Source organism: Homo sapiens, chromosome 9 (genome assembly GCF_000001405.40).
Source record: "Homo sapiens chromosome 9, GRCh38.p14 Primary Assembly".
NCBI classification, from domain to species: Eukaryota; Metazoa; Chordata; class Mammalia; order Primates; family Hominidae; genus Homo; species Homo sapiens.
This window is the reverse complement of record NC_000009.12, coordinates 14,621,963-14,638,238: the sequence shown is the minus strand read 5'-3', so window position 1 is coordinate 14,638,238 and position 16,276 is coordinate 14,621,963. Positions and strand designations below refer to the sequence as shown.

The following is a 16,276-nucleotide window of genomic DNA, read 5'->3' as shown; positions in this document are numbered from 1 at the left end:
CTGTAAATATATGAATTTATTTCTGGATCCTCTATTCTGTTCCCTTGGTCTGTGTGTCTATGTGTCTGCTTTTATACAGATACTATGCTATTTTGGTTACTGTAGCCTCATAATATACTTTGAAGTCAGGTAATGTGATGCCTCCAGCATTGTCCTTTTTGCTTAGGATTTTTTTGACTATTCGGGCCCTTTTTTGACTTACAAATTTTAGGATTGTTTTCTCTAATTGTATGAAAAATGATGTTGGTATTTTGATGCTGATTATATCAAATCTGTAGATTGCTTTGGGCAGTGTGGTCATTTAACAATAATTCTTCTGATCCATTATCATGGGATAGCTTTCCTTTGTTTGTCTCTTCCTTTAATTTCTTTCATCAGTGCTTTGCAGTTTTCCTTATAGAGATCTTTCACCTCCTTGGTTAAATTTATTCTTAGAGTGTTGTTGTTGGAGCTATTGTAAATGGGATTGTGTTTTTTCTTTCTTTCTCAGTTCATTATTGGTGTATAGAAACGCTACTGATTTACTGATTTTTGTATGCTGATTTTGTATCCTGTGACTTTACCGAATTTAATTATCAGATTGAAGAGTTTTTTGGTAGAGCCTTTAGGTTTTTCTTGATATAAGATACCATCAACACAAAAGGCCATAGATGGTGTTTATTATATTGTAGTATGTTTCTTCTGTGCTTAGTTTGTTGAGAGTTCCAGTTCCTTCCTTTTCAATTTTTTGAAATAATTTGAGGAGAATTGGTGTTAGTTCTACTTATTTTAACACTTGGTAGAATTTGCAGTGAAGTTGTCTGGGTCCTGGACTTTTCTTTGTTGGGAGACTTTTTATTACTACTTTGATATTGTCACTTTTTATTGGTTTGTTCAAGTTTTCTATTTCTACCCAATTCAGTTGTGGTAGGTTTTATGTGTCTGGGAATTTATCATTTACTCTAGGTTTTTTGGTTTGTTGGTATATAGTTGTTCATAATAATCTTTGATAATCTTTGTATTTCAATGGTATCAGCTGTAATGTCTTCTTTTTCATGTCTGATTTTATTTACTTGGGTCCTGTCTCTTCTTGGTTAGTCTTGAAAGTGGTTTATTCACTTGTTTATCTTTTCAAAACACCAACTTTTTGTCTTATTGCTTCTTTGCATATTTTTTTTAGTCTCTTTTGCTTTTACGTCTCATCTGGTCTTCATTATTTCTTTCCTTCTACTAATTTTCGGTTTGGTTCATTCTTGCTTTTCTGGTTCCTTGAGGTGCATCATTAGACTATTTGCTTGAAATCTTTCTACTGTTTTGATATAGGCATTTATTACTGTAAACTTCCCTCCTAGCACTGCTTTTGTTGTAGTCCATAGGTTTTGGTATGTTTCGTTTTCATTTTCATTTGTTTTAAGAAAGTGATTTCCTACCTAGTTTCTTTCTTGGCCCACTGGTTGTTAAGAACCACGTTGCTTAATTTCCATGTATTTGTATAGTTTCCAAAGTTCCTCCTGTTATTGATTTTTAGATTTATTCCACTGTGGTCTCAGAAGATACTTGATACAATTTAGATTTTTTTCATGTTTCTTGAGACTTGTTTTGTGTCCTAACCTATGGTCTATCTTGGAAAATGTTCCATTTGCTGATGAGAACAATGTGTATTCTGTAGCTGTTGGTTGAAATGTTTTGTAAATATCTATTAGGTCCAGTTGGTCTAGAGAGCAGTTTAAATCTGATGTTTCTTTGTTAACTATTTTACTAGATCTGTCTAATGCTGAGAATCCTGTGTCCAAGTCCTCAACTATTACTGTATTAGAGTCTATCTTTCCCTTTAAATCTAATACTTGGTTTATATATCTGGGTACTCTGGTGTTGGGTGCATATATATTTAGAGTTGTTATATCTTCTTACTGAATTGATCTCATATAATGGTCTGCTTTGTAACTTTTTACTATTTTTGACTTAAAGTCTGCATATCTGATATAAGTATAGCTAGCTATTCCAGCTTACTTTTGGTTTCCATTTGCTTGGAATATCTTTTTCTGTCTCTTTACTTTCAGTCTATGTGTCTTTACAGGTGAGATGAATGTTTTGTAGGCAGCATATTGTTGTGTCATGTTTGTTTGTTTATTTAGTCCATTCAGAAAGTCTATATGTTTTAAATGTAGAGTTTAATCCATTTACATTAAAGATTATTATTGATATGTGAGGCTTACTCCTGTCATTTTATTAATTGATTTCTGATTGTTTTATATATGCTTTGTACTTTTCTTTTTCTTTTATTGTTTATCATTGTGGTTTGATGGTTTTGTGTAGTGGTAACATTAGAGTTCTTCCTCTTCCTTATTTGTGTGTTTGCTCTGCCAGTGGGTTTTTAATTAATTTTTTATAAAAAAATTGAGACAGAGTCTTGCTCTATTGCCTAGGCTAGAGTGCAGCATTGCGATCTCGGCTCACTGCAACCTCCACCTCCCAGGTTCAAGCAATTCTTGTGCCTCAACCACCCAAGAGTGGGTTTTATACTTTCATGTGTTTTTATGATGGTAGCTATCATCCTTTCGTTTCCAAGTGTAGGACTCTCTTAAGCATTTCTTGTAGGACCAGTCTAGGGATGATAAAGTCCCAAAGCTTTTGCTTGTTATCACGTGCCTTTTTCCTTTATTTATGAAGGATAATTTTGCTGGAAATAGTGTTTTTGTCTGAAAGTGTTTTTCGTTCCGCACTTTGAATGTGTTATCCCATTTTCTCCTGGCCTATAAAGTTTCTGTGGAGAAATACACTGTTAGTCTGATGCAGATTCCTCATATGGGACTTGATGCTTTCTTTCTTGCTGTTTTTACAATTCTCTGTCTTTGACTTTTGATAGTTTGATTATGATGTGCCAAATCGGAGAAGACCTTTTTGCATTGTATCTGTTTGGGGATCCCTGAGCTTCCTATACTTAGGTGTCTTGATCACTTGCTAGACTTGAGAAGTTTTCAGCTGTTATATCCTTAAGTAGGTTTTCTAGGTTTGTTGTTTTCTCTTTATCTTCTGGGACATTACAAATTAAAGTATTTGGTCACTTCATGGTATTCAATATGTCATGTAGTCTTTGTTCTTTTTTTAAATGCTTTTTTCTTTATTTTTGTCAGACTGGGTTATTTAAAAATACCTGTCTTCAAGTAATGAAATTCTTCCTTCTCCTTGATCTATTCTATTATCGAAACTTTGAAATGTATTTTGTATTTCATTTAATGAATTCTTCAGTTTGTTTGGTTCTTTTTTATTTGTATTTGTTTAGTAAATTCCTCATTCAGATCTGGAATTGTTTTTCTAATTGCTTCATATTTTCTGTATTATCTTTATCTCAATGAGCTTCTTTAATATTATTTTGAATTATTTTTCTGGGATTTCATATATATCTTTTTGATTGTAATATTTTATTGGAGAATTATTGTATTTCTTTGGAGTGCCATATTTCCTGCTTTTTTATGTTTCTTGTGTCCCTATGTTGATATCTATGCGTCTGTTGTAACAGATGTTTTTTCCAATTTTTTGAATTTGCTTTTGTGGGAGAGGACTTTTTCCTGGACATGTATCTTTGTGTTGGCTGGTTGGGGCCCTTTGGTTTTGATTCTGGGAATGTGCAGTATTATAGTTGCTGTAGGATTTGTTTGGCTGTGAATAGCATCAGTGGTATCTGTGATTTCATCAGTGGCTTAGGGTGTGGTTGTTAGTGGATGTTGTGGTGAAATTTTGCTAGGGACCGGGTTGCCAGGTGGGCTTGTCCTTAGTCCTTAGTGGTGGCAGCAGCAAGTGGGCCTGTCCGTGGGCACCAGGGTGGCATTGGCACTGCTGTTAGCAGGTCCACACAGACCAATTCTTGGGCCTCCACGTGGCTTGTTCAGGTGTGGATAGTGGCAGCAATGCGCCAGGCAGGTGGACAGGTTCTCGGGTCCTGGGAAATGGGCATGGCGTGGGTAATGGCAATAGTATTGGCAGAACAAACCTCTGCCTCCCAAGTGGTTTGTGTAGGCGTTGACAATATCAGCAATGGGCTGGGTGGGCCAGCCCTCAGACCTGCAGGTGGCATGTGTGGGTGCCAGCTGTGGTGGTAGTAGCAGGCTGGGTGGCCCTGACCTCTGGCCCCTGAGAGGAGTGTTCAGGTGCCAGCAATGGTGGACTGGGCTGTAGATGGTCCCCAGGCTCCTGGACAGTGTGCTTGGGTACTGGAGTTTGGGTATGGGCAGACCTAGCCTCAGCTACTGGTGTTTGGGGTTGGGGAGACCTAGCCTCAGGTCCCCTGGTGGTACATTCACCCAGTGGCTGTGGTAGGCATTGGTGGGGTGATCTCCAGGCCCAAGGCAAAATGTTTGGGTGGGGATGGCATCCATTGCAGCCCTGCTACTGGGGAGGACGGGGTTGCTTTCAGTGGCTGCAGCTGTATGCAGCGGGCTGGGGATTGCACACTTTGCTTGTACTTCAGCCTGGCAGTGCCAGCCCACAATGGCTGCTGTGGGTGGGGGTTTGACATTGGGGCATGTGAAAATGCACCCTGGATTTGCTGCTGGGATCAGCAGGGTGTTTGCCAGTAGTTTGTGCTTCAGCCTTGGTGGTAGCAGCCAACTGCAGCAGTGGCTGTGGGCAGGGAATATCAGTGGGGCTCCAGAAATGTGGAGATGCAGGGGCTGTTGGGCTCACTGGCAGGATACAGTCTGGTGAGGGCTGGACTCTTAATATGGTGCCTTCCTGGAGCTGCTTAGGGCTCAAAGGCTGTGCGGGACCCAGCATGATCCTCCTCTCTGGAGCGGTACCTTCATGTATTCTCCAGGTAGCTCCCATTAGTCTTGAGACTTGTGAGGGTTTAGGGGCTTTCCTCTAGCTAGGATGCAGGAGTCTGCAGTGGGAATGTTGGGCAGTAGGGGTCACTGACTTACCCTTTTCCTGCACTGGGGAGCCTCTCCATGTCCCCAGCCAATTTTGACTAACCAGGCTGCCTTGCTTTCCTGTCAGTCCTTGCTTTAGGATGGTGTTTCCATTCACTTCTCTGTTGATTTCCAGTGTTCTCTCTTAGATGATATATTTTACGTGTGATTATCTACTCACTATTTTGGTTCTTCTTTGTGAAGGAGGTGAGTACCAGTTGTTTCTAGTCAGCTATCTTGAAGCCCACCTACACGTTTTTGTGTGGACGTACATTTTCATTTCTTTGGGGTATATAGAAGTGGAATTGCTGAGTCTAATGGAAACTACATTTATCTTTTAAAGAACTGCCACTGTTTTTCTAAAGTTGCTGCACCATTTTGCATTCCCACTAGCAGTATTTGAGGGTTCTAATTCCTCTACAGCCTTGGTGACAATTGTTATTACCTGTCTTTTAAAAAACGGTAATACCTCATCATAGTTTTAATTTGCATTTCCCTGGTGATCTAATGAGGTCGAGTATCTTTTCACATGCTTGTTGTCCATTTGTATATCTTTGGAGAAATCCTTTGACCATGTTTTAATTGGGTTGCCATTTTACTGTTGAGTTAGAAAGGTTATGTATTGTAGGTATAAGTCCCTTTTCAGATATATTATTTGCAAATATGTGATTTGCAAATATTCTCACATTCTCTTAGTTATATTTTCACTTTATTAACAGTGTCTTTGAAGCACAAAATTAGTACTTTTTATTGTTTCAATTTATTTTTTTCTTGGGTAGTATATGCTTTTTGTGTCATATCTAAGATACCATTGCCTAATCCAAGGTCAACAAAATTCACTCCTATATTTTCTTCTAAGGGTTTTATTGTTTTAGCTTTTATATTTAGTACTATGATTCATTTTGAGCTAATTTTTGTACATTGTGTGAAGTAGGGGTCCATCTTTATTCTTTTACAGTAGATACCTAGTTGTCCCAGCACCATTTCTTGCAAAGACAATTCTTTCCACCATTGAATAGTCTTGACACCTTTGTTGAAAATTAACTAGATATTTTCTGGACTCTTAACTCTATTTTATTTATCTGTATGTCTATCTTTATGACATAGAGATATCTTTATGCCAGGACCACACTTTCTTAATTACTGTTGCTTGATAGTAGTTTTGATACATTTTTACTGAATATATTCTGATAAACACTTAATTTCTTATCCACAGTATATATGCTATACAGGCATACTTGTTATATTGTGCTTTGTAGATAGTGTGTGTGTGTGTGTGTGTGTGTGTTTGTGTGTGTTTTAACTAGTTGAAGGTTTGTGGCAATGATGCATTGAGTAAGTCTTTCGGTACAATATTCCCAACAGTGTGTGCTTACCTGTTGTTTCTGTGCCACAGTTTGGTAATTCTTGTAATATTTCAAACATGTTCATGATTATTATATCTGTTACTATGATCTATGATTGGTGATCTTTGATGTTACTATTGTAATTATTTTGGGGCACCACAAACTGCGCCCGTATAAATGGCAAACTTAATTGGTAAATGTTGTGTGTGTTCTGACTGCTGCATTCACTGGCCATTCCTCTATCTCTCTTCTTTGGGCCTTGCTATTCCCTAAGATACAATAATGTTGAAATGAGGCCAAATAATAATCCTATGGTGGCCTCTAAGTATTTAAGTGAAAAGAAGAGTTGCATGTCTCTCACTTTAAATCAAAAACTACAAATGATGAAACCTAATGAGAAAGGCATGTTAAAAGCTGAGACAGGCCGAAAACTAGACCTCTTGTGCCAAATTGCCAAGTTATGAATGCAAAGGAAAAGTTTTTGAAGGAAATTTAAAATGCTACTTCACAGAACGTACAAATGATAAGAAAGTGAAGCAGCTTTATTGTTGATATGGAGAAATTTTTGGTGGTCTGGATAGAAGATCACACAAGCCACAACATTCCATTAAACCAAGCCTAATCCAGAGCAAGGCCCCAACTCTTCAATTTTATGAAGGCTGTAAGAGGTGAGGAAGCTGGAGAAGAAAAGTTGGAAGCTAGCATAAGTTTGTTCTTAAGGCTTAAGGAAAGAAGGCATTTCCATAACATAAAAAATGCAAGGTGAAGCAGCAAGTGCTGATGTAGAAGTTGCAACAAATTATCCAAAAGATCTAAGATGATTAATCAAGGTGGCCACACAAAACAACAGATGTTCAGTGTACACAAAACAGCCTTCTATTGGAAGAAGATGCCATGTAGGACTTCTGTGGCTACAGAGGAGAAGTCGATACCTGGCTTCAAAGCTTCAAGGTACAGGACAGACTGACTCTCTTGTTACGGTTAAATGCAGCTGGTGACTGTAAGTTGAAGCCAGTGCTCATTTGCCATTCCAAAAATCCTAGGCTCTTAAGAATTATGCTAAATCTACTCTGCCTTTGCCCTAGAAATGGAAAAACAAAGCCTAAGTGACAGCCACATCTGTTTACAGCATGGCTTGCTGAATATTTTAAGCCCACTATTGAGAACTACTGCTCAGGAAAAAAAGTTCCTTTCGTAATATTACTGCTCATTGACAATGCATCAAGTCACTCAAGAGCTCTGATGAAGATATACAAGGAGGTTAATGTTGTTTTCATGCCTGCTACACCCCTTATGCATGCCATGGATCAAGGAGTAGTAATTTCAACTTTTAAGTCTTACCATTTAAGAAATACATTTCATGGGCTATAGCTGCTGTAGACAGTGATTCCTCTGATGGATCTGGAGAAAGTACATTGAAAACCTTCTGGAAAAGATTTACCATTTTAGATGCCATTAAGAACATTTGCGATTTATGGGAGGGGACCAAAATAACAATATGAACGGGAGTTTGGAAGAAGTTGATTCTAAACTTCATGGTTAACTTTGAAGGGTTCAAGACTTCAGTGGAGGTGGTAACTAAAGATGTGCTAGAAATAACAAGAGAAATAAGAAGTGGAAGATGTGACCGAATTGCTACAATCTCATGATCAGTGTTGAATGAATGGGAATTTGCTTCTTATGGATGAGCCCAAAAAGTGGTGTTTTGAGATGGAGTTTACCCTTAATGAAGATACTGTGGACGTTATTGAAATGACAACAAAGGATTTAGAAGAGTATATGGACTTAGTTGGTAAAGCAGTGGCAGTGTTTGAGAGGATTGACTCCACATTTTTTAACGAAGTCCTACTGTGGGTAAAGTGCTATCAAATTGCATCGCATGCTACAGAGAAATCGTTCATGAAAGGAAGAGTCAACCTATGCAGCAGACTTTATTGGTTTTTTTGCTTGTTTGTTTGTTTTGGGATGGAGTCTCTCTCTGTCGCCAGGCTGGCGTGCAGTGGCGTGATCTCGGCTCACTGCAACCTCTGTCTCTCGGGTTTAAGCGATTCTCCTGCCTCAGCCTCCCAAGTAGCTGGGACTACAGGTGTGCACCAACACGCCAGCTAATTTTTGTATTTTTAGTAGAGATGGGATTTCACCATGTTGGCCAGGATGGTATCGATCGCTTGACCTCAATATCCACCTGCCTCGGCCTTCCAAAATGCTGGGATTACAGGTGTGAGCCACCGGTTTATTGTTTTAATTTTGACAGCCACCCCAGCCTTCAGCAGCCACCACCCTGGCCAATCAGAAGCTGTCAACTTGGAGGTAAGACCCCCTACCAGCAAAAATATTACATCTCCCTGAAGGTTCAAATGATCATTAGCATTTTTTATCAATAAATAATTTTTAATTTAAGGTAGGTATGTACATTGTGTTTTAGACATAATGCTGTTGTACACTTCATAGAGTATAGCATAAACATAACATTTATATGCAGTGAGAAACCGAAAAATTTTTGCTACCGGCTTTATTGCAATACTCGCTTCATTGTTTAGAACCAAACCTGCAATATCTTCGAGGTATTTCTGTAAGTTATTTATGGTTTTTGTGTATCAGGTTTGATTCTGACTCTCTTCCCTTCTATCAACATGTTAATTCTCAAATTGCAAGGGTTTTTTTCTGTAGTATTGAACGTTACATTTTATTAAGGTAGAGAGATTTGGTTATGAGGTGATATTTCTAAAACCGAGTGGAAACCACATTTGTTGAATAATGCTCCCTCCAAAAGTTTCATCTCTTTCTGCATATGTGTAGTAACCTCTCAGAGCACTGTACCAGACACTGCTGGTATCTATAGCAATTACACCTCTGTAAAACAATCAAAAAAGAATTGTTAAGAAAGAGAAAGCAAGAGAGAGGATATATTCTATTTGTTATCCTAACCTTTAGTCACTTTACTTTCTCTTGAATACGAGTACTTTTTAGAATTACAATGAATTTTTAAATCTCTTTAGCTGGGATTTCATAGTGAACCTCAAGCGTTACCCTTTTGGGGTTTAAAAAAGAAATTAAAAAGGGTTTCCAGAATATACTCTTCCTCACATTGATTTAAGATTCTTTGAGGCTTGATTATTTAAAAGTCTAATGCATTCGGTGTTTAATTTTAAATCGAATGAATTAAATTAGCACTTAAATACTATTTAATATTTTAATTAAGTTAAAATATAGATGATGCTTACTTTATAAAATAAGTTTGCTGTTTTGTGATAAAATTAAGATTACAAGAAATTATACATCTGCACATGTTTTTGTCATAATTCGAATCCATGGATCTCTCTTTACAGTGTTAAGTGACGAATTTGTCAGGTTGCATAAGAAAGAAGTGGGAGAAAGAATCACAGTAAATTTAATCCTTCCATTGCAGTCTTACTTTTTCCCTACTCTTGCACCCTAAAGATCCTAGAGGCATTTTGGGAAACTACTGATACGGATATCATTTCATTACGTAAACTATTTTATTGCATAGCTTGAATATAGACCTACTAGACATCAAACAAGCAAAATAAGTGTTGTCTCTTTGGGATTTAGCTTGAGGTTTCAGGGAAGCAGCATATCACTTTTCAGTAATTTTTTACCATTATTCATTTTTACTTGGAATAAATAAATCATTTATCTCATCTTCCTGTTGATAGTGAAAGATAACAGGATAATCATAGCAGTGATAATCTGATGTCATTTTAGACCTAGCAAGAGTAGATTATCTGTGACCCAGATAAAATAATTAGAAATTACTTTAACTTAAAAATAGTGGATTCTAATCTCATTTTCAAGGTTAAAAGATTTCAACACAACCAGATGTTTCTGTTAAATAGACTAATCTGAAGCCCAATTCAAAAGGATTACCTGTGATTATTTTTCGATTTAATTTTAAACAGGATTTAAATATACGTTTTTGTGCGTTTTTACTACAATTTATATTGGAATAAAAATGTTTTCAAATCAGTCTACTTCGAGGCATTTTTTATTAAGGGAAACAGGTTAGTCAAATTATTTTTTAGACTTCAGACTGTTTAGCCTGTTTTTTGGTTTTTTTTTGCTGTTTCTGAATCAAATGGATAGTGATGTTATTTAATGTAATTGATGTTGTCTGAATTATTGAGCAGTAGTTCACACATAGCCAACAATAATGTCCATTCTGATGAGCACCAATACTAATAGTGCTGGGTGATTGTATTTGTCATGTTCTCAGTCACTGGGCTTGGAGAGAGTTAATCAAGAAGTGCTGTAACAGCTGGTACAGCGCATTCTGGTGAGGTTCTGACAGTGAGCTATTGTGTACCATGACACTGCTCTGACAGTTTATCTAATTTTTATATACAAGCATTTTTGTTTTCTGGGCTCTGTGGAGTTTATATAATAGTGTAAGCTTTTGATGATGTCTCTGGAGATTTTCTCAGTTGTGGTGAGGTTGGGGGTAGGGTGAGACAGATGTATTTAGTTGCAATTTTGTAAAAGACTAAATTCTCAAACAAAAAAATAGTGATTTTTGCATTTGGTTTCACAGGTGCTATTGTTGGATTCTATTTGAATTGCTGAAGATAGCTTAAATCAAAGCTTTTCAAATTAAGAAGAAAATGTTTTCCCCCCTAAATACTGGCTCATATTTAACTCAGCAAGTTAATGTTTACTTAAATAAATACAGGAGAAATCATAAATGCAGGGGTGACAGTTTTAACTTGGCTACCTTACTCACTGAAAAGTATCTTGTGTTCCAAGTGTGAAATCAGTTTAAAGGAGACTGTCTAGTAAACAGCATTTTACGAATCAGTCGATTTACTTGCCTTTTAATCTATACACAGAAGTGTAGTCCTCAAATGATTAATTCCTATAGTTAAATTTTGCCTAGTATTCTGCCAAATTATTTTGAATTAATAGCATTCAGTACACTCTTTATAACAATTATGTTTGATGTACTCAGCTCCAGGTCAGCATTGCAGACATGAACATCATTGCTAATTATGCTGACCCCAGCTCACATATACTTCTATAAAGGGAGCTCTGTAAGGCATTTTTGTCTTCCTCTGAATTTTTGCTTGATAAAAATAAAATAAATGTATTTCTAATGTAGTATTCCCAATTGTAATATTATATGAAAGATTTTATAGCTTTTTTAAAACCTAGAAAGTTAATTAAAATTTAAAGTGTCCCTTCTTTTTAAATATGCTTTTAATGTCATATAGTAAAATTGGGTATAATATTTTTTAGAATTTTGTATATGATAAGTTTATAAAAAACTAGGTTCCCCCTTGCCAAGGGCATTTGCTTAAATACCAAGTTATATTTCATATTTACATGAAATACTCTTTTAAAAAAATTATCAAAATTATTTTGATAATTATGGTGTGTGGAATTGGGCTACTCTTTAGCATATGCATGTTCCTATGTAAAAGCATATTTATATTGCATAATTTCTGTTTGCTCAGTGTAATAAACTGCTTGTAAGTATTTTTGATAAAACTAATTAAAAAGAAATCTTTTTCTATAATTTATTTATATGTCCTTAAATCACTACTGATTGCTTGAGTGATTAAATAGATGCTTAAAAAGTGTTCGTAAGGAAACTAAACATTTATGGGTTTTCCTTTTACTAACAATTTTTCCTAGATATTCATTTTATTATTTCATGATCTGAATCCACACAAATATTTAATCTGACATTAAAACATAGGACTGCAGAAAGCAGTAAATCTTATATTTATGGTTTGCTTATGGTATTTTGGCACAATAATTTATGTACATTTTATTGATATATTATTATTCCCTGAATCTCAGCCAAAGGGGCATGTTAAATGCCCATCTTATTTCTACTAATAACCAAAAATCTTATCAAAGTATAATTTTGGTGTTAAAAGTGTAAGAGTAGTTAAATTTGAGTTTTGATTATAAACAGTTTTTCAGCTGTTCCAAATATTCTGATTAGTGCGAGACTTATTTCTACAAAACATTATTGTATATAATCATCCTTGCTGGCTTCCTCTCTATGTTACTATATAATTATTTCCTGTATACTTGACTACTTTTACTAGATTGTAAGTTCCATGATGCTAAGGACTGTGTCATAATAGATACTTGGTAAATTTTTGATAGATGGATAAATGAATGAATGAATCATGGTTTACATATTTAGGACTTGTTTTTTCAACTGGATTATAAGCTCTTAGAGGGCATAGGATTTTATATGTGTAGTCTCTTGTAGTCCCTATTATTTTATTTTTCATTATAAAACCACTTGTTTGTTTGTTTAAACATAATGTTGAAAAGTTACATTTTGAGGTAATTGAGGTATTTCTTTCCAAGCCCTCTCAAAAAGTAGGTAGTAGGCAGTATCACTAAAATCTTAAGACTGCCATTTATTGAGGAGTTATAAGGGGTTTTGACATAATTAACTCATTTAATCCCCACAAAAACCTATGAGGTAAGCGTTATTATTTGGAAATGGAGGTATAGAGTTTTAGCAATTTTCTTTAGATTATACAGTCAGAAAGTGGCATTTAAGATTAAGAGAAGTGTGAGGATTATTTTGGAAAGAGATTTTCAGTGTCTATAAATATAAGATCTGTTGCCTTCTCACTTTTGTTCTATGATTGATTCGATGTTTATGTGAACTTCAGATCCCTGATAAAAGACATAGCTGGTCTTTTGTTGGAAATGGGTGCTTAAAGAACCATTCATTTCAAATGAGGAAAGTAGAAGGAAGACAGAGCTAAGATTAACAGGACATTTCCCTCTTTTGATTGAAAACAAAACTAAAAATAAGGAATCATGCTATTTCTGTTCATGTCCAATTAGTTTAGTGCTGCAAATTTATATTAAGTTGACCATTTTGTACAGTATGTGCTGCTAAGTGCTATGGAAAAATTTAAAGTTAAATGAGCTACTGTTCATATACTAATCAGAGGTGCTAAGAAGTGAAATGAAAGTCTTTCTTAGAATTAATATAAATTAGTAATAGATAAAGCAGGCAAAGTTTTTCTCTAATTGTGAAAAACTTGCCTGAGTAGTGTTTTTAATTTTTAAATTTTTGATTGATATATAATAATTGTACATAGTTATGGGGTACAATGTGATGCTTCAATATTTGTATACATAATGTAATGATCAAATCAGTAATTAACTTATCCATCACCTCAAACGTTTTTCATTTATTTGTGGTGAGAACATCCGAAATCCTCTCTTCAGGCTATTCTGAGATGTACAGTACTTTGTTGACTGTAATCACACTGCTGTGCAATAGAACACCACAATTTATTACTCCTTTCTAATTGTAACTTTGTACCCATCGACCATCCTCTTCCCCATCCTTCACTTCTTTCTACCCTCCCCAGTCTCTGCTAACTACTGTTCTATTCATACTTCTGTGAGATCACCTTTTTTAAGATTCTGCATATGAGTGAGAACAGTCAGTATTTGTCTTTCTTTAACTGGCTTATTTCATTTATGCATGTGATCACAAATGATCGTACTTCATTCTTTTTTTGGCCGATTAGTATTCCATTGTGTATATATACCATATTTACTTTATTCATCTGCTGTTAGACACAGGTTGATTCCATATCTTGGCTATTATGAAGAGTGCTGCAATAAACATGGGACTCTGACATACTGATTTTATTCCTTTGAATATACAGTTGTCCCTCACTCTCCATGGGGGATTGATTTCTGGACCCCACAGGGATATCGGAATCCATTGAGGCTCCTGTTCCTTATGTAAAATGGTGTAGTATTTGAATATAACTTATGGACATCTTCCCTTGTACTATAATTCATCTTCTAGATTATTTATAATACCCGATACAACGTAAATACTATGTAAATAGTTGTTAAACTATATTATTTTAATTCATATTATTATTTATTTTTTTAAATAGTTTTTCTTAAAGTATTTTCGATCCATGGTTGATTGAATCACAGCTACAGAACCCACAAATATGGAGGGCTGACAGTGTACCCAGTGCTGTGATTGCTGGATCATATAGTAGTTTTGTTTTTAACTTTTTGAGGTGCCTCCATACTGTTTTTTATAATGACTGCATGGATTTACACTTTCCCCAACAAGAGTAAAGGTTCTTCCCCAGACTGTGTAAGGGTTCCCTTTTCTCCACATCCTTGCCAACATTTACCTTTTGTATTTTTGATAATACCCTGGGATAATTCTGATTGGGATGACATGATTTCCCATTGTGGTTTTTGATTTACGTTTCTCTGATGGCTAGTGGTGTTGAACATTTCTTCATATACCTGTTGGTCATTTCTATAATCTTTTCTCTGTTTTAGAATCAGATTTTTTTTGTTTTCTCTCTCTTTTTTTTTTTTTTTCTGTTGAGTTGTTTGTGTTCCTTATGTATTCTGGGTATTAACCCCTTGTCAGATGTATAGTTGCAGAGATTTTCTTCCATTCTTTAGGTTGTTTCTTCAATGTATTTTTTTTTTTAAGAGACAGGATTTCATTCTATCACCTAAGCTGGAGTGCAGTGGCATGATCATAACTCACTGCAGCCTTGAACTTCTGGGCTCAAGCAAACCTCCCACCTAAGTCCCCCAAGTAGCGAGGACTACAGGCACATGCCACCATGCCATGCCTGCTAATTTTTTAAAGGTTTTGTTTTGTTTTTGTAGAGACAGGCTCTCACTATATTGGCTGCACTGGTCTTGAACTCCTGGCCTCAAGCAATCCACCTGCCTTGGCCTCCCAAAGTCCTGTAATTACTGGCGTGAGCCACCGCACCCAGCCATTCACTATGTTGTTTCCTTTGCTATGCAGAGCTTTTTTGTTTGATGTAATCTCATTTGTCTGTTTTTTTTTTTGTTGTTGCCTTTTTTTTTTATGTCTTACCTAAAAAATCCTTATCCAGGCAATGTCCTAAAGCATTTCCTCTATGTTTTCTTCCAGTAGTTTCATAGGATCAGGTCTTAACATTGAAGTTTTTGATCCATTTTGAGTAGATTGTGTGTATAGAACAGTGTTTTAAACTCTAGATTAAATCACCATAGAGTCATTAGGTAACTACGTGTAGCAGACTTGGAAGCATCAACAAGACCTATAATAATAAAGAATGCAGGGGATAATTGAGGTTAGATTGAACTGTCTTCAAGGAGTCTAATGAAAAGAATTTTCTTACTTTCCTCAGGTCTGCAGTTTGGCAGGTCTAGAAACTCCATTTTGAAATTGTTTGCAGGGTTAAACAGGTCCAGAGGCAATGGCTCTTACTTCCAGACTCAAAAGAGATAGTCATATAACAGATTGTTTATTCCTTTATGTGCGATTGTCAGGTGTGCCAAAGGACTCTTCAGCACATTCTTTCTCCTGTATGACAACATATGTGGCAAAGTGTTGCTTGGTGAGAATGAACTCAAAACAGGATGAGTTAGTTGGATGGATTGTATCATCAAGCGCTCTATGCCAAGAGGACTGGGTTCTCAGGTCTGTTAACCAGGAAACCTCTGGTGATAAATTCTTGCTCTTTATCCCACCCCCCTGCAACCTCTCATTTTCCTAACATCAAGCCAAGAGATATCTCTTTCTCCTTTTCTCTTAGGAACTTCCCCGCCCCCCCATTCCAGGTATAATTTTACTACTTAGGATACAGTGGTAATAGTCAACATAATTTTTTAGACTAGACCTGAAAAATAATTTCTTATGTAAGATCACCCATCAGAAGATAAAATATTAGATAAAATAGGTAGGGCCTATATTTCTGTATGTCTTGCTGTTTCTAGTTCATTATTTTTAAGAACATCCAGTTTTTAAAATAGTAAATCATCCTCATATATCTCTTGGTCATGTAGACTGAGGAAAGTCTTAGATATTTTGATCATTAGACTGTAATCGAGGTGTAAATATTTATAAATAAAAGTGTTCTGGTAGACGACACATAGTAAAAACTTGTTTGTTATCATTCCTGGACAAGTGAATTTCTCTGGATAGCTGAGTTTTACATATAACTGAGGACTTATATTTTGTATTTAAACTCCTTGAGGATAATAGTTATCTTATTGGTC

At 35.8% G+C, this 16,276-nt stretch overlaps 1 protein-coding gene across 29 annotated transcripts in view; it reads left to right on the top strand.

The window, feature by feature from the left end:
* Nucleotides 1-16,276, top strand: part of ZDHHC21 (zDHHC palmitoyltransferase 21) — a 104,636-nt gene that overhangs the window by 55,194 nt on the left and 33,166 nt on the right. For 10 of the 29 annotated variants that reach the window (NR_148714.2, NR_148716.2, NR_148715.2 and 7 more), the window contains one exon: nt 15,548-15,698. The exons of the other annotated variants lie outside the window; for them this stretch is intronic. The gene's annotated coding sequence lies outside the window, so the exon portion shown is untranslated. The remainder of the gene's footprint in view (nt 1-15,547; nt 15,699-16,276) is intronic. 29 annotated transcript variants of the gene reach the window in all.